Source organism: Homo sapiens, chromosome 10 (genome assembly GCF_000001405.40).
Source record: "Homo sapiens chromosome 10, GRCh38.p14 Primary Assembly".
Lineage (NCBI taxonomy): Eukaryota > Metazoa > Chordata > Mammalia > Primates > Hominidae > Homo > Homo sapiens.
Genome location: NC_000010.11, coordinates 74,741,405 through 74,759,910, shown reverse-complemented (window position 1 = coordinate 74,759,910; position 18,506 = coordinate 74,741,405). Strand labels below are relative to the sequence as shown.

The following is an 18,506-nucleotide window of genomic DNA, read 5'->3' as shown; positions in this document are numbered from 1 at the left end:
GACAAGTTTTCTCCGTGTTGGTCAGGCTGGTCTTGAACTCCCGATCTCAGGTGATCCACCTGCCTCAGCCTCCCAAAGTGCTGGGATTATAGGCGTGAGCCACCGTGCCTGGCTGTATTTTACATTTCTTTGTTGTTGTTGTATTTATTTATTTATCTATTTATTTATTTATTTATTTAGAGACAGGGTCTCATCTGCCGCCCAGTCTGGAGTGCAGTGGTGTGGTCTCAGCTCACTTCAACCTCTGTCTCTCAGGCTCAAGGGATCCTCCCTCCTCAACCTCCAGAGTAGCTGGGACTAGACTACAGGGGCACACCACCACACTCGTCTAATTTTTTTTGTAGAGACGGGGCCTCACTGTGTTGCCCAGGCTGCTCGTTAGCCCCTGGCTTCAAGCAATCCTCCTGCCTCGGCCTCTCAAAGAGCTGGGATTATAGGCATGAGCCACCATGCCCGGCCTATATTTGTTCTTTATCCTAGAAGCTCTAAGCACAAAGTTAGTTCTATAGCAGTGCTGGTGAATTATTGAATCTATATTATCCAGAAAAAATCTATTTGCAGCCAGGCACGGTGGCTCACACTTGTAATCCCTGCACTTTGGGAGGCCGAGGTGGATGGATCACCTGAGGTCAGGAGTTCGAGACCAGCCTGATCAGCATGATGAAACCCCCGTCTCTACTAAAAATACAAAAAATTAGCTGGGCGAGGTGGTGTGTGCCTGTAATTCCAGCTACTCAGGAAGCTGAGGCAGGAGAATCACTTAAACCCGGGAGGCTGGGGTTGCAGTGAGCCAAGATGGTGCCACTGCACTCCGACCTGGGCAACAAGAACAAAACCCCATCTCAAATAAAACAAAAAAACACAAAACTTTTGCATTTACTCTGGTTTTAAAATGTTAATATTCGGTAGACTTTTAAGTTCAGTTGAAAACCGTATTCTATTTATAAGTCTAGGTAATTTTAGCAATTACTTTTAAGGAGTTTTAAAATAATAATTTGGTCCCATTTACTCATTCAGTTAAATGCCTTCAATCATTTAAAACTTAATTTATAAATGTAATATATTTAATTTCCTTTTAAAAGTACATAATTCAATACAAAAATTAGCCGGGCATGGTGGTGCACGCCTGTAATCCCAGCTACTCAGGAGGCTGAGACAGGAGAATCACTTGAACCCGGGATTCAGAGGTTGCAGTGAGCTGAGATTGCGCCACTGCACTCCAGCCTGGGTGACAGAGCGAGACTCCGTCTCAAAAAAAAAAAAAAGTACATACTTCAATTGTCTAACTGACAAATGCTCCCAAGTACCTAATTTTTATAAATCTAATAAATTAAACATATAGCGGTATAGTGAACCTAATTTCCCTGAAATGTTTCACTACTGTATATAAATTTAGTAAGGTTTTTACTTAAAAACCACAAATCAATTCCTTGATGACACGTTTTTGATACAGATACAAACTCATAGAACAGTTGAAAGTACAGTACAAAGAACTTTTTTTTTGAGACGGAATCTCACTCTGGGCAGTGCATCTTGGTTCATTGCAGCCTCTGCCTCCCAAGTTCAAGTGATTCTCCTGCCTCAGCCTCCTGAGTAGCTAGGATTATAGGTGCCGGCCATCACACCCAGCTAATTTTTGTATTTTTAGTAGAGATGGGGGTTTCACCATGTTTCCCGGGCTGGTCTCGAACTCCTGGACTCAAGTGATCCTCCCACCTCGGCCTCCCAAAATGCTGGGATTACAGGTGTGAGCCACTGCGCCTGGCTTAGAAAGAACTTTTTATCTGAACCATTTGAGAGGATTGCTAACCTAATACTCCATCACCTGTGAATATATAGTGTCTGTTTCCTGGAAACAAGGACATTCTCCTGTATAACCACAACACAACCATTAAAATCAGGAGATTAACATGATACATTACTATCATTAGATCCTAATACCACATCCAAGTTTTACCATTAGTCCTAACAATGCCCTGTACAGCAGGCAGATCCAGCTCAGAATCCCGTATAGCATTTAGTTGTCATGTCTCTCCCTTCTCTTTCAGTCTGGAATAGTTCCTCAGCCTCATGTCCTTGATATTTTTGAAAGGTACAGGCCAATTATTTTGCAGAATATTTCTCGCTTTGGGTATGTCTGATCCTCATGATCAGATTCAGGTTATCCGTCAGGCAGAAAAATGACAGAAATGATGCTGTATTCTTTATTGCATCTTATCGACTGGTGCATGATTTCGGTTTTTCTCATTATTAATGATGTTGACTAAGATCATTTGATTAAGATGGTGTCTGTCATTTCTTTCTGCTGTAAACTTAACTTTTTATTCTCTTTGTAACTAATCAGTATTTTGCAAAGATGTATTTTGAAGCTATGCAAATATCCCATTTTTACTAAAAATGCAAATAAAACTTTCAATTAATTAATCTATCTATGTTTGAGTTATAATCTACTACTATCATTATTTTGAATCTCATATTGTCTCTCATCAAGCTGGCTTGTTCCTTTTTTTTTGAGACAAAGTCTTGCTCTCTCACCCAGGCTGGAGTGCAGTGACATGATCTCAGCTCACTGCAAACTCTGCCTCCTGGTTCAAGCGATTCTCGTGCCTCAGCCTCCTGAGTAGCTGGCATTACAGATGCATGCCACTATGCCGGGCTAATTTTTGTATTTTCAGTAGAGATGGGGTTTCACCATGTTGGCCAGGCTGGTCTTCAACTCCTGACCTCAAGTGATTTGCCCGCCTCAGCCTCTCAAAGTGCTGGGATTACAGGTGTCAGCCACCGAACCCAGCTTGGCTTGTTCCTTTTGACATGCCTCCATAATTTTTTTTGTTTTTGAGTAATTGTGTGCTTTCTGGAAAAATAAGATGTTTCAGGTTTATATTGCACTTTGCCTGCCTTAACCCTGGAAGCATCCATTTCTCCAAGGAGCTGTGGAAAATAGTATTTAAGGCCAAGACCTGTGCTCCAGGGGGCCCATTGTTGTTGGAGTGATGCTGCTCCTGGGTCCCCTCAGTGACAGAAACAGAGAGCACCCTGGCTTCCATTGCCCTCAATATGTTTACTTATTTCGTTTTTTCTTTCCTTTTTCTTTTATTTTTCTTTTTTTTGGCGGGGGACAGAGTTTTGCTGTTGTTGCCCCTGGAGTGCAATGGCGTGATCTTGGCTTACCACAACCTCCACCTCCTGGGTTCAAGCAGTTCTCCTGCCTTAGCCTCCTGAGTAGCTGGGATTACAGGTGCACCCCACCACGCCAGGCTAATTTTTGTATTTCTAGTAGAGACGGGGTTTCACCATGTTGGTCAGGCTGGTCTTGAACTCCTGACCTCAGGTGACCTGCCCGCCTTGGCTTCCCAAAGTGCTGGAGTTACAGGCGTGAGCCACCGTACCGGGCCATGTTTACTTATTTCATCACCACCTATGTGTGTGATGAATCTCCCACCTGAGCTGCCACTGGCTTTTCCCTGTATGCACTCTGACTCCGTACTCTGAACCACTGCCGCATGGATCCTCTCCTCCCCTCTTTACCCTGCTTGGGATCTGACACTCTGGGCTGGGCCGTGGCAGTTCCTCACTCTCCTGCAGATACAGTAGATTTCCATTACTCATAGCAACTGCATTTGATAAGGTCACCACAGACACTGAATTAGTGAATACTGAACCATTGCGCCTAGGGGAGATACAGGGTTAGCTTCCTGAGAGTCTCTGGTCACAAGAGTTTTGTCAACTGATTAATATATGACTTTATTTTACGTGCATTTATGATTTTTTGGGTTTTCTTTTATTTTGTTTTATTTTTGGAGAAGTGGGGTCTTGCTCTGCCCAGGCTAGAATGCAGTGGTGGCGCAATTATGGCTCACTGCTGCCTCAACCTCCCAGGCTCAAATGATTCTCCCACCTCAGCCTCCTGAGTAGCTGGGACCACAGGTGTGCACCACCATACCCAGCTAATTTTTAAATTTTTTTTGTAGCGATGGAGTCTTTATGTTGCCCAGGCTGGTCCCGAACTCCTGGGCTACAGTAATCCTCTTGCCTTGGCCTCCCAAAGTGCTGGCATTACCGGCATAAGCCACTGCTCCCAGCTGTGTAGTTCTGTTTAAAGATGCCTTATTAATAAATATTGTTGATTCATTAACATTGAATTAAGTCAACCGCACTATAGCTCTTGCCTGAACAAAGTTCATCTAACACATGTATTTTCTCCGGAAGGTGCATCACAGTCTTTCTGCACTTAGGATCGCTAGACAGCACTTCAGCCGTGCACGTGGGGACCATTTTACACAGCACCATCCCCAAGAAAAAGGACAAAAATATGAAAAACCTGGCACTAAATGGACTGTGAAAAGGACATTTCTTCACAAAATGACAGTTGAAACAGGAAGTCAGAGCGTTGCCTTGTTCAGCCTCTGCTAGAAATGTGCTTGTCGGTTGACTCAAATTTTTTGCCGCTCTGTGCATGTTGGTGAATATCTGCAAAAGGACTGTGGGTCGGGCGCAGTGATTCATGCCTATAATCTCAGCACTCTGAGAGGCCGAGGCGAGAGGATTGATTGAGGCCAGGGGTTCAAGACCAGCCTGGTCAATGTAGTAAGATTACATCTCCACAAAAAATAAAAAACTAGCTGGGCCTGTTGGCATAAGCCTGTAATCCCTGCTTCTCCAGAGGCTGATGAGGTAGAATCCCTTGAGCTCAGGAGTTTGAGGCTGCAGTGAGCTATGACTGCATCACTGCACTCCAGCCTGGGACACAGAGCAAGACCCTGTCTGAACAAATTAAAATAAATAAATAAATAGGGCATGGTGGCTTATGCCTGTAATCCCAACACTGTGGGAGGCTGAGGCAGGAGGATTATTTAAGCCCTGGAGTCTGAGACTAGCTTGGACAATGTAGTGAGACCTCTACTCTATAAAACATAAAAATAAAAAATAAAATAAATAATAGCCAGTTTGAAAAATGCTTACCCAGTAAGGGAATTATTATCTTATCTCACACAATTTTGGGGGTTATCGTCTCATATTATTTTTGAGGTTGCCTCATTGACTTGCACTGCTTGAGGTTGCAAAACTACTGAAGAAGTGGGCTACTGGTAGGATTCTTGCTGGTGACGCTGACAGGCTGCTGGGAATCAGTGTGTACGGGAGCTGGCTGTGCAATCTCTTCCCAGCTCTACATTCTGGGCCTACCTTCTGGGTAGTTTGAAATTGGCCATGGTGGGTGTATTTACACCACAGAAATCTGCAAATGCCTCAAGTCAGGGCTTTTTCTTGGAAGAACTGGTGGTTAAACCGTAACCAGCACGCCATTGCCGTGAGCTCTATTTATAGATGCTGAATCAATGACTTCATAACCCAAGAAAGGAACGCTCATACAGCCAGAGACCCTTCTAACCTCTCCTTGCACGAGTCTTCATGCCTTATATCACTTGTTTGGATACTGCATTTCTTCGGCTCTTAAGATATGTAACCCCAGCTCTAAAAGCTTAAATTTGATGGCTTCCTGCATGCTTCCTAGGACCACACAACTATTACAGCTATAGAAATAAAATCTGACTGAGTCTGGGCCCTCTAAGCTTTGTTCAGTGACCTGAAGGTCACTCCATGTTCCACAGCCCCTACCCCCAACCTCCAAGCTAGCACGCATCCCCCTGCAGCACCCAGAGCCGGGTCCTCATGTAAACTTTCATCACCTCTTTTTTTCTGTTTAGGGTCCAGACAAGGGTTTCTTTTGCAGACAAGTCCCCTGGCCTCCCAGCCTGGGGTGCAGGCACCCGTCTGCCCCGCCTGCAGGTCTCCTTGAGCCGGGTAAGTCACTGCAGCCCGTTCCTTCAACACCTGGCAGCAGCATGCGGACAAAGAACTCATGCTGTTGTGCTGAGCCTGGTGATTCAGGCTGTAAAACTGCAGGCCAAGTTGTTAAACCCAGATTCAGGTAGACAGCCAAGCAGGGCCAAGGCTGCCCTGCATCTGGGTTTTGGCAGACAGAGCAGTTTCCCCATCTGTGGGGGCCTTGGTGTGGCCTTTCCCTCCAGGAGGCAATGTCGGTATAATTTATTGGGCCATAATTGTTGAAAGGAGCAGTCCTTCAGGCCATTCATTCAGGCCAAAAATATTTCTTTATTGAGCGTTCCCAGTGTTCTCAGCCTTGTGCTATGTGGTGGGGGTGGGGTGTGTGTGTTGGGGAAGTCACGAAAGAGACCAAATCCCACTCGTTCTGCAGCAACGGAGTGGCAATGGCAAGCAGGGCTTGCTACACACCCCGCGCAGAGGCGGCAAGTCCTGCTGGAGAGTCTCAAAGGAAGAGCTCCTCCAGTGGCCTTGAATTTTGCCAGGTTTTGCAGGACGAGTGGGATTTAGTCCATGAAGAGTCCGGCAAGGGCACCGCCCCTGGGGAATCAAAGCACAGGATGGGTGGGGAAGGGCCCAGGCTCGCCCAGGGAGTGGTGAGTCCTATGTGTGGACAGGCAGGGCCCTGGAGAAGGTCTCCTGAGAGACAAGCTGGAGATGTGGCACGGCCACCTGGGAGAGGACTCTTCAATGACAGGATAGAGTTTGGACTTTGTTCTGTAAGATACAAGGGACCTCACTGAAAGTTTTTGAGGAGAGGAGTGGCATGACCCGCTCCATGTCACACGAAGGCAAGCTGGTGTTTCCACTCTCAACGCGAGAGGAGTTTTCTCCAAGAGGAGCATAGCGATGTGCTGCCGATATCAGGCCGGGGGGTGTGAATGAAGGAAGAGGGTTGGGTGTGTGTTCAAGAGCATCTCTTTTGTACTCACCGGGTTGTTTCCATTGTCCTGCTGCCACCATCTGTAGGAGATGTCAGAGATAACAGTGTGATTCCTAATAATCATTGTAGCAATGATAATAGTAACCACAAAAATAATCAGTATAGGTGAATTGTATTAAGTAATCTCTATGTGCTAGGCCCTGAGCTAAATACACCACATGAATGATTGTGTAAAATACTTACGTCAACCCTATGAAGTAGACATTATTATTTTCCCCATTTTACAGATGAGAAAAACCAAAGCACAGAGAAGTAAGTGCACTTGTGCAATGTCACACAGCCAGGGAATGGAAAAGGGAAGGCAACAACCCAGCATTGTCTGACTCCAGAGCCTGAGCTCTGTTCCCCTCCACTATAGCCCTTTCTGAGATGCAGCACTTCCTCTAGAAAGCACTCTCCAGTGTATCTGGGCAGGATGGGCAGTGGGAGGCTGGATGTCAACCTGGGGAGGTGGTTTAGTAAGGGGTTGGAGGACTGTGTCCAGAGGGTGCTGAAGAAGCCCTTGGGCTTGTCCACCCAGCCCTGGGGTTCCACTTACGTTACTTCCTTGGCTTCTACAGGTATTTGATGTTGAGACCCTATCAACACATGCTTCCCTGGCCAGGCACGGTGGCTCACGCCTGTAACCCCAGCATGCTGGGAGGCTGAGGCAGGCAGATCACCTGAGGTCAGAAGTTCGAGATCAGCCTGGCCAACATAGTGAAACCCCATCTCTACTAAAACTACAAAAATTAGCCGGGCATTGTGGCAGGTGCCTGTAATCCCAGCTACTTGGGAGGCTGTGGCAGGAGAATTGCTTGAGCCTGGAGACGGAGGTTGCAGTGGGCTGAGATTGCACCATTGCACTTCAGCCTGGGTGACAGAGCGAGACTCTGTCTCAAAACAAAAATAAAGCAAAACACATGCTTCCCTGACTACTCACAGGTGAAGTGAAGGTGGGAGGGATAAAGCAGATGGATCACAGCAACAAGACCCAGGAAGATCCGGTCAATTGATGAGCATCTAGTGAAAGTTTAATAGGAATAATGCAAAATCTTGTAATGGTCCATGAAATCACCACACTGTACTAGTGTGGACACAGGGGTACGGCTTAATACTAATGTGATGCCAAAAAAAAAAAAGAAAAAAGAAAAGGAAACAAACACTTAACTTTTGGTTGATGAAAATCTCAATATGAATCAACAGTGTTATATGAATATCAAAAAAAAGCTGTGACTGGCACTTTGGGAGGCCGAGGTGGGAGGACACATGAGGTCAGGAGTTCGAGGCCAGCCCGGCCAACATGGTGAAACCCTGTCTCTACTAAAAATACAAAAATTAGCCAGGCATGGTGGCGCGTGACTGTAGTCCCAGCTACTCAAGAGGCTGAGGCAGGAGAATCACCTGAACCCGGGAGGCAGAGGTTGCAGTGAGCCAAGATGGCACCACTGTACTCCAGCCTGGGCAACAGAGTAAGACTCCATCTCAAAAAAAAAAAAAAAAAAAAAGCTGTGACTGCAGGCTATATCAATAGAATTATAAAGCAATTGTTTGGCTTCCACATAGACGGTATTCAAGGTGTGCTATGTAGCTCCCAGGAAGAGTATCCGTTAATTGCACAGAGTAGAGACGAAGGGAAGACAGACTTTGGCACAGGGTAGAGAAGCTGCTCGGAGGTGCCCAGATGAAATAGCAGAAAGAATACCTGGCGGGAGCCGGTGTGTTCCCGGGAAACTGGAGTGTTCAGGCTCGAACAGGATGGCTGCTTGGCAGAAAGATGGAGTAGTGAGGGAATCACTGGAAGACGATTGGGCTCAAAGAACTTCATGTCCATTTTGACCCTCACTTTCCATGATTCCATGTGCTAGAAGTCTCTTTGGGGAAAGGAAAGTGATAACCTCTGTGTGTCGTTTCAGGTGTGAGAGCTACACCTGCAGCATTAGTGCAGAAGTGAAGCCTCTGGAGAGAAAGCATTGGTTGACTGTGAAAGCACATGGGGGTATCTCCGAAAGCTGGGGGGCCCCCCTCGGTCTCACCGTCTGAGCACCCACTATGGCATTTCAGATGTGGAGAGGGCTGAGGGTGGGGCAGCGAGCCACCCCCTAGGTTTGTGGTTCTGCCAAACTTGAGAGACATGGAAATGTAGGCTTTACCGAATTAAGTGACAGCCACTCTGTATAAACAAATTGCCAGCTATGGGGAGTCCCCATGCAGCCACAAACCAAGGCTGGTAGTCTGCTCCCAGACAGGACTCTGTAAGCTGGGTTAGCAATGGTTCCATGGTACTGGATGCATATCATCGTGACGCACAGGGGCGACGCTCTGCCGTAGAAAGAATACAGGCTCCAGAAGCAGGCAGCCTGGGTTCAAATCCCAATTCACTGCTTTTTTTTTTTTTTTCTTGAGACAGGTTCTCTCTCACTTTGTCACCCAGGCTGGAGTGCAGTGGCATGATCTCGGCTCGCTGCAGACTCAACCTCCTGGGCTCAAGCAATCCTCCTGCCTCAGTTCCCCAAGTAGCTGGGGTGATTCACGGATTCTTAGCACTGTGTGGTCTAGAGCCATTTGCTTCCTCTCTTTGAGGCTCAGGTGACTCCTGTGTAAAATGAGGATAATCACATCTACATAAAAGCTAATATACATGAATTGTTTATAATAGTAGGTGATTGACAGAAAGCAATCAAAGACCTAGTTTTCTTCACAAATATTTTTAAGACCGGACCCTTTTATAAAAAAAAATTTTTACATTGCCCAGGATGGCCTTGAACTCCAGGCTGAAGTGATCCTCCCTCCTCAGCTTCCCGAGTAGCTGGGACTACAGGTGCGCACCGCTGCGCCTGGCTCAGACATTTCTTTCTTTCTTTCTTTCTTTTTTTTAAACGGAGTTTCACTCTTGTTGCCCAGGCTGGAGTACAATGGCGTGACCTTGGCTCACCACAACCTCTGCCTCCCAGGTTCAAGCGATTCTCCTGCCTCAGCCTCCCAAGTAGCTGGGATTACAGGCATGCACCACCACACCCGGCTAATTTTGTATTTTTAGTAGAGATGGGGTTTCTCCATGTTGGTCAGGCTGGTCTCGAACTCCTGACTGCAGGTGATTCGCCAGGCTCAGCCTCCCAAAGTGCTGGGATTACAGGTGTGAGCCACCGCTCCCAGCCCATTTCTTTCTTTCATCCTGTTGTGGCTTTGCCTGTGGGGCTGCTTGGATTTCAGCAGCTTTGGCCTCTAAGAAAACACATGTGAGCAGACTGGGGGGAGGGCTTAGAAGACTTGAGCTCTAATTATGGGCAGGATCAACAAGTTGTTCACATGGAATGATCATCCCTAGCAGGTTTGTTTTGTTTTGTTTGTTTGTTTGTTTGTTTGTTTGTTTGTTTTTGAGACAGGGTTTCATTCTACTGTCCAGGCTGGAGTGCAGTGGTATGATCACAGCTCACTGCAATCTCGAACTCCTGGGCTCAAGCGAGCCTCCCAGTTGGCCTCCCAAAGTGCTGGGATTACAGGCATGAGCCACCACCATGTGCGGCCTTCACTAGCAGTTTTACTAGAAAAGCCTCTCATTTGCCATCTCACTCAGTGTCTCCTGGAAGAGGCTCTTTGGGAGGAATTGCTGTCGCCAGCTCCTTAAAATGCCACCTGGGGGTCCTTCAAGATGCCAGGCACACCCCAAACCAGGGCCTTTGCATTGCTGTTTCTCCTGCCTGAAGCCCTCCTGCCTCAGACATTTGCGTGACTCAATCTCTTTCTTCATTCAAATATGGCCTCATCGGAGGAACTGTCCTGAGGGGTCCGTCTAGAATAGCGTCTCTCCCTGCCCTGATCACTCCTTCCTCCTTGCCCTCCATGCCACCTGACATTCCAGGTATTTATCTGCATGTTATCATCATGGCTCTTGGACAGCGAGCTCCAGGGGAGCAGGGACTTGGCTATAAGCAAAGCTCTTTCCCCAGGGCTTAGAACGTGCTGGTGTGTGGTGCGTCTCAATAAACATTTTTGGATCGTGTGGTTCGCTATGCCTTCCTGGATGGCTTTACTGCTTCCCAGGAAAACTACATCCCAAACATCCTGAGTTCATTCTGAGGAATGGGTCTGTGGTGAGTGGACAACTTCTAGAGAGGTAATGCCTCCTCACCAGGCACTGAGACGGGCAGGTTTTGTGGCTGACTCCCTCTGCCTCTGGCTTCCCTTGTGCCGAGAAGGTTAAACAATAACAGCAAGAGACCGAGAGCAGGAACGGAGGCTCCTAGAATAAAAAGACATTTACTCACACAAAGGGGAAGTAGGACAAAGCACCCTACTTCTACTGAGACACACAGAATAATCCCTGGAAGTGGGGAGCACTTACCAGTCCCGTCTTTCAATGGTGCAATTGTCTGGCACCACAGAGCTGTGAAAGCTGTTTATAGATGGGCTTTCACACTCGAGCAAGGAAACAGTCCGCTCTTGACTGTGCTGCCCAAGGTAAACCTTTCGTATGTCTCCTCTCTGCACAGCCATTGCATTTTACTCACATGGAAGATCATGTTTACTCTTTGGGCCCTTAAAGGGCTGATGCTGTTGAAGCAATTATTCACCGGCCAGTTCTCATGCTGTCTAAACCTGTATTTCAAAGCTGTGTCTGGCATTAGAAATAAACTCCATTGGCTTGTGGGGTTTTTTTCATGTTGGCATTTGGCCTTGTTGGGCAGTGGGAGCTTTTGAGCTGACAATTCAAACGGTATCTTGTGATGGAAAGTGACCAAGTGGATATGGCCATGGGTCTAAAATGAGGAATTGGAATACTAGGAATATAATTATGTTTTGCATGTCATCAATTTTTAAAAATTTAACTGATAACTCACAGGGGTGGAGAGCGAGGGCTGAAAAACATTTAGACTTGAGTAAGATAATTAACACAGCAAATAGCTATATTTTGTATCCTGTATTTGTCCTTTGTCACGTGCATTGTTTGGCCCTATTGCCAGAGCTTGCCCTACGCAGAGTCTGGCCACATAGGATGACTAGACGCTTCCCCTTGAAACAAAATCCTCTGGGGTGGGGTGGAAATGTGGTGGAAATATGTGTTTGGTGACACCTAGTATATTCATTGCCCATTTAAAGTCTACAGAAATGGCGTAGGCCCAAATGAGAGCCAGGTGGAGATCATGGCCTCAGTAAAGGGTCTTTAGGCACGTCCAGCTCTGGAACAAGCCCACACATACCCATCTCCATCTCTGTGCTTCCCGTGCTGGCTCACCCAGTAAGGTGGTGGGTCCTTCAATGGTGGGGTCTACAAGTCATTCCCCTTTGCAGCCCCTGGGCCTAGAAAGTGCCTGGCACAAGTGCTCAATATAGGACCATTGAATGGAATGGAATGATTATAAAACAGAATTTTAGCAATGGAGGGACTTCAGACATCATTAGGCCAGACACCTTACATTACAGCAAAGGGTCTAAAGAGATGACACAATTTGCCTGAGATCCCATAAGGCTGGCAGCCACCAACAACCAGGGACTTTGCTTCCTTGCCAGACCTTTTCCACTAGAAAAACAGGTGTTTCAGGCCAGGCGCAGTGGCTCACCCCTGTAAGCCCAGCACTTTGGGAGGCTGCGGCAGGAGCATCACTTGAGCCCAGGAGTTTGAGACCAGCCTGGGCAACATGGCAAGACCTCGTCTCTACTTCAAAGAAATCAAAAGTTAGCTGACAGCATAGTGTCCTGTACCTGTGGTCCCAGCTATTTGGGAGGCTGGGATGGGAGAATTCTTGATCCTAAGAGATCAAGGCTGCAGTGAGCCGTGATTGATTGAGCCACTGTACTCCAGCGTGGGTGACAGGGCAAGAACTTGTCTCAAAAAAAAAAAAAAAAAAAAAGAAACACAAAACAACCACAATCCCCCACATGTTTCAGAGTGGGAGTGGCCTTGGCATTCGTAAGCATGTTTTCCAGTTGTGTCCATGTGCGTGTATTCGTGTGTGTGTGTGTGTTTGGTCACAGTGAATTTCTTTCTGGTCATAGGATTAAGAAACAAACAAACGAAACCCTGAAGTCATCTGTGTAATGCTCTCATTTCGTAGATGGAGAGTTGACGCCCAGAACCTCAGTGTAGCTGCCCAGGCTTCACAATTGGGTATGCGGTACAGAGCCCGAAGACGCCTCCTTTTCCGGGAGCTGAGCTCAGGGCTGTCCTGGGTGTTTCCAGACCACTAGGAACCTCCCAAGTCGTCCACAGGAGGCGAGACTGCGTCACTGTCCCCCATCACAACCCAGCACAGTCCACAGCCCAGCTCCATGAAGGCAAAGACCTCGGGCCCGTGGCAGTGCTTAGCCCATCCTAGGGGCTCAGAGAGCCTTTGCTGAATAAAGAAAAGGCTGCTCCCAGGGCTGTTTTGAAGTGGGCCATGTAGAGAATGGCTATAAAGTTACCACATAGAAAACAACATACATTTTGGCTGGGCATGGTGGCTCATGCCTGTAATCCCAGCACTTTGGGAGGCTGAGGTGGGTGGATCACCTGAGGTCAGGAGTTCAAGACCAGCCTGGCCAACGTGGCGAAACCCCGTCTTTACTAAAAATAAAAAAATAAAAATAAATAGCTGGGCCTGGTGGCGGGTGCCTGTAATCCCAGCTACTCGGGAAGCTGAGGCAGGAGAACTGCTTGAACCTGTGAGGCACAGGTTGCAGTGAGCCGAGATCGCGCCATTGCACTCCAGCCTGGGTGACAGAGTGAGACTCCGTCTAAAAAAAAAAAAAAGAAAACAACATACATACTAATAGAACGGTTACATCTAAATGCGTTTTGTCTTCCAAATAATTCACCTTGTGAGGCTACATATGTTTATTTCAGTATGCTGCTACTGTTCAAAACATTTTTAAAAGATATCCTTTGGCATTCCCTCCTGAGTTCATTAATTAGTCATAGAAAATCAAAGTCTCTTTACTTTGCGGTCAAATTTTCTTTTTGACCTAAACACAATTTTCTCAGCCTAATCTCCTATCATATTCATCGTATTTTATTTTTTCAAAGATGTTTATTAAATGTCTTTTGCATGCCAGCATCACTGACTTCAAGATTTAGTATTCAATCATGATATATATATGCAGTGAATGTTTATTGAACGCCAGGCACTGTGTTATAAGCACATCATAGAAACTGATTTATTTAATCCCACAACTTTAAAAGGTAGCTGGGCAAGGTGGTAGGAGCTTGTGGTCCCAGCTACTCAGAAGGCTGAGGTGGAGAACCGCCAAGGGCAATGTAGCAAACCTTGCCTCTGAAAAAAATAAATAAAATAGATAGGTATGGAAACTGAGGCTTAGAGAGGTTAAGCAAATTGTCTCACAATACACAGCTAGAAAGAGATGGGTTTAAATCCAGCTCTGACTTCATAGCCTAATAGCTTAAGTATTCTAATATTTACCAAGTCAGAACACACTTTTTTTTTCTTTAGAGACAGGGTCTTGGCATGTTTCCCAGGCTGGAGTGCAGTGGCACAATCATGGCTCACTGCAGCCTCGACCTCCTGGGGTCCAGTGGTCCTCCCACCTCGGCCTCCTGAGTAGCTGGGACTACAAGTGCATGCCATCATTCCTGGCTAATTTTCTAATTTTCCGTTTTTTGTAGAGATGGGATCTCACTATATTGCCCAGGCTGGTCTTGAACTCCTGGGCTCAAGCCATCCTCCCAACCTCGGCCTCCAAAAGTGCTGGGATTACATATAGACTATAACCTACCAAAGTAGTCTTCTATTGCTGAATATTTATATATATATATATGTATTTTTTGAGACAGAGTCTTGCTCTGTCACCTAGGCTGGAGCTCAGTGGTGCAATCTGGACTCACAGCAACCTCCACCTTCAGGGTTAAAGGGATTCTCATGCCTCAGCCTCCCAAGTAGCTAGGATTACAGGCATATGCCACCATGCCCGGCTAATTTTAGTATTTTTAGGAGAGACGGGGTTTCGCAATGTTGGAGAACATTTAAATATTTCCATTAAAAATATTTTAAGTAAAAAAAAAATCAGCAGATACATGTAATAAAAAACATAAAAATTAAAAAATATATTTTAAGGGCCAGGTGCTGTGGCTCATGCCTGTAATTCCAGAGCTTTGGGAGGCCAAAGCAGGGTGATCGCATGAGGCCAGGAGTTTGAGATCAGCCTGGCTAACATAGCAAGGCCTTATCTCTACAAAAAAAATTAAAAAATTGGCCGGGGATGGTAGTACACACCTATACTCTCATCTACTTAGGAGGCTGAAGCAAGAGAATTGCTTGAGCCCAGGAGCTTGGGCCTGCACTCCAGCCTGGGCAACATATTGAGATTCTGCCTCTCTCTCTCTCTATATATATTTTCAGGAATTCTATGATGCACATCCTTGGACGTAAATCTCCACATATGTTGCTTGATCTTTTCTCCAGAAAAAATTCTGCTACCTACCGAACTGCAGGCTAGTGACCTGGGGGCCTACAAGCAGGTCCAGAAGGGACCCCTGAAGCCGAAAGGCATCACAGAGCTTGGAGTGACCAAGCAGAAGAAGAAAAAGAAGCACAAAGACAAGGCACAACTCAGGAAGAGATGGGAACAAGCAAAAAGAATGAGGAGAAGTGGTGCGGCCTGTTCAAGCTGACCCTAGCCCAGGAGAAAGTGCAGGAGAAGCGACACATGGAAAGGATCCTGAAGAAAGCATCCCAGACCCACAGGCAGAGAGAGGAGGACTTCAGCAGACACCTGGACGCACACACGGAGCATCGCGACACCCCCAAAGTCAGCTGGACCCAGTAACCACCCACTGCCGGGACAGAGCAGCATCCAGGGGAAGCAAAGGCCAAGTCGGGTTGCGTCTGTTTCCTCTGGTGTATTCTAGAAACTTTGCTTTACACACACCCCTACATCTTCTGCTACAAAGTGCTTTTCAAAGCCATGCACCCCATTCTGGAACTTCATTAAAGTAAGCCTGTCCTTTTACTCAGTTTAGGTTTCTTGGTAACACCTAGAAGATATATCCTTTTGGTTTGGATGGAAAGTTTCTAAAAGTTTATCCAGAGGTACAGCCCGTTTCTGCGTCCGGGCCATGTAAAAATATTTTACCTGCTAGTGGCATCTATAATAACGCTCTGAGGCCAACCAGCTGTCTTTGCTTGGATGAGACGGACCCCAGAGGATTGGAGCTAATGCCAGCGTGGCCTGCAGTGTGCAGACCCCCACGAGGCCTAGCGTGTGCACCCTTCGAAACTCCATCCAGCTTGGAGCTTATGCTGTTCCCTGCAGGCCCCGGGGAAGCCACTTGCAACTTTGCGGGCTTGACTTCCTCCTCAGCCACCTGGCCGGTGGGACGGCACAGCCTGGGTAGCAGAACAACTACCTAAGGCAAGGATGGGCTACACACCTTGTCCCTTTCTGAGCCCATTCCCTCCAAACCCCACACCCTTCCAGGTACCTCTAACGGGTATTGTCATGGCAGGCATTGCTCATGGATCACAGCATTCTTTGTAATGGAAGCCGGACACAGACTGTCTCTCAACCCTCAGCCCCAGGCAGCCTCTTGTATTTACTCAGAGTTGGTACATCACATGGAGCCTGTTTGGCATTCCCGCCCTAAGGACACCTCAGGGTGACAGGACCAGGGCAGAGCCCCAGCACAGGCATGGGTGCGGTCACCTGGGAGGCCCAGGTGGCAGTGCTAGAGGGCTAGGATCTTTGAGGGCCTGTGTGTCCTGGATGAGGCTGCATATGCTATTGGGAGAAACAGTCTCTGTTGACATAGACATTGAAAGAATAACAAAGACGGAAGAGAGAAACCAAGTGTGGAATTTGGGATTGTCCTATGTGAACTACAGAATAAAGCAAAAACCAGTTATTGAAAAAAAGAAAAAAGAAACAATTCTACACACAGTATTTCCAGGTCATATTTTTAAAGCCTTGACTGTCTTCTACATATATGAAGTCTTTGTTTACAGTGCTTATGTTATCATTATTTAAATTGTTGATAATCTGACCAGGCACAGTGGCTCTCGCCTGTAATCCCAGCACTTAGGGAGGCAGAGGCAGGAGGCTAGTTTGAGTCCAGGAATTTGAGACCTACCTGGGCAACATGGTGAGACCCCAATTCTCCACAAAAAGGAAAAAAAAAAAAAAAGACACACAAAAAAGTAAATTGTTGGTAACCCAGGAGATATTAAAAGGTATTTATTTTTTTTCTACTTTATCTGCATTTCTGTGTTTATTATTGAAAGTAAACCTTTCAGCAGGGTGTGGTGGCTCATGCCTATAATCCCAGAACTTTGGGAGGCTGAGGTGGGTGGAACATTTAGGTCAGGAGTTCAAGACCAGCCTGGCAAACATGGTGAAACCCCGTCTCTACCAAAAATACAAAAATTAGCCGGGTGTGGTGGCACACGGTGTAATCTACTTGGGCGGCTGAGGCAGGAGAATTGCTTGAGCCTGGGAGGCAGAGGTTGCAGCGAGCCAAGATGGAGCCACTGTACTCTAGTCTGGGCAACAGAGTGAGACCCTGTCTCAGAAAAAAAAAAAAAAAAAAGAAACATTTCTTTTTTATTCATATTCTTCTTTTGTGAATTGCCTTTTTTCCATTTTCCAAATGGAATGTATGCCTTTTTCCTTCTGCTTTGCAAGGGTGTTTTCTAAATTAAGGATATTAGGCCAGGCGTGGTGGCTCACACCTATAATCCCACAATTTTGGGAGGCCAAGATAGGTGGATCACCGGAGGTCAGGAGTTCAAAACCAGCCTGGCCAACATGGGGAAACCCAGTCTCTACTAAAAATACAAAAATTAGCCAGGCGTGGTGGTGCATGCCTGTAATCCCGGCTACTCGGGAGGCCGAGGCAGGAGAATCGCTTGAACCTTGGAGGCAGAAGTTGCAGTGAGCCGAGATGGTGCCACTGCACTCCAGCCTGGGCGACAGGAACAAAACTCCGACTCAAAAAAATAAAAAATAAAATAAAATTAAGGCTATTAATATTTTGTCAATCTTTTACGCTGCCAACATCTTGTCCCTGTTTGTGGTTTGCCTTGTTATTTTTTAAAAAATCAAATTTAAGTTTTAAATTTTTATGTAGGCAAATCTATGCATCTCTTATATTTTTCTTTAGGTATTATGCTTTGAAAAATCTTTACCACTCAAGATTATAGAAACACTTTCTATATTTTCTCATTATTCTGTTTATAGTATTTAAAAAAATAACTGATCTATTTGGAACTTTACCTTGATGATTGGCATGCAGTGGGGACTCCAGCTTAATTTTCCCCAACAGAAACCAATATTCCAGCATGATTTGCTTGCATAATATTTCCCTTCTCTGATTTTAAATGCTAACTTTATCATATGCAAAATACTGGTGTATATGTGAGTCTGTTTCCAGGTTTTAAATTTTATTTTACTGATCTGTCTATTCTATGCCAAATCTGTTTTAATTACTGTGGTTTTATGACAGATTTTAATAATTATGCAAAATCCCCTCATATTTCTTTTCTTCTGCAACAATTTACTGACTCGTCTCTCCCAAAATCTCTTTGAGATTTTAATGGACACTGCATTTCATTTATTAATTAGTTTGAAAAGAACTGACATCTTTTATTATTGCCTTTTCTCACACAGGTATGTGACATGTTGCGCATTTATTTATCTTCTGTTATGTACCTTGGCAAACTTTTGCTCTATTCTTCATTCAGATCTTATATACATTTTTAAAAGTTTATTCTTGGGTGAAATATGTGTGTGTGCATATACACACATATAC

At 45.9% G+C, this 18,506-nt stretch overlaps 1 long non-coding RNA gene and 1 pseudogene across 1 annotated transcript, besides 2 other annotated features; one reads left to right on the top strand and one right to left on the bottom strand.

Annotated features, from left to right (window-relative positions):
• Positions 4,988-6,508: an enhancer, noted in NCBI's record as "VISTA enhancer hs1500". NCBI's record gives its function as "enhancer in: neural tube[6/7] | limb[7/7]" and the evidence as "EXISTENCE:transgenic organism evidence [ECO:0001131][PMID:17130149]".
• LOC124902459 (uncharacterized) lies at positions 6,095-9,738 on the bottom strand. The gene is made up of 2 exons (XR_007062201.1): positions 8,472-9,738; positions 6,095-6,807 (listed from the first exon to the last, which is right to left on the bottom strand). It is a non-coding gene; the product is annotated as an uncharacterized LOC124902459 (long non-coding RNA).
• Positions 9,035-9,254: an enhancer, noted in NCBI's record as "active region_3598". NCBI's record gives its function as "activates an Ori minimal core promoter by ATAC-STARR-seq in GM12878 lymphoblastoid cells {active_cell/tissue: GM12878}" and the evidence as "EXISTENCE:reporter gene assay evidence [ECO:0000049][PMID:35858748]".
• Positions 15,109-16,710, top strand: FAM32CP (family with sequence similarity 32 member C, pseudogene; annotated as a pseudogene).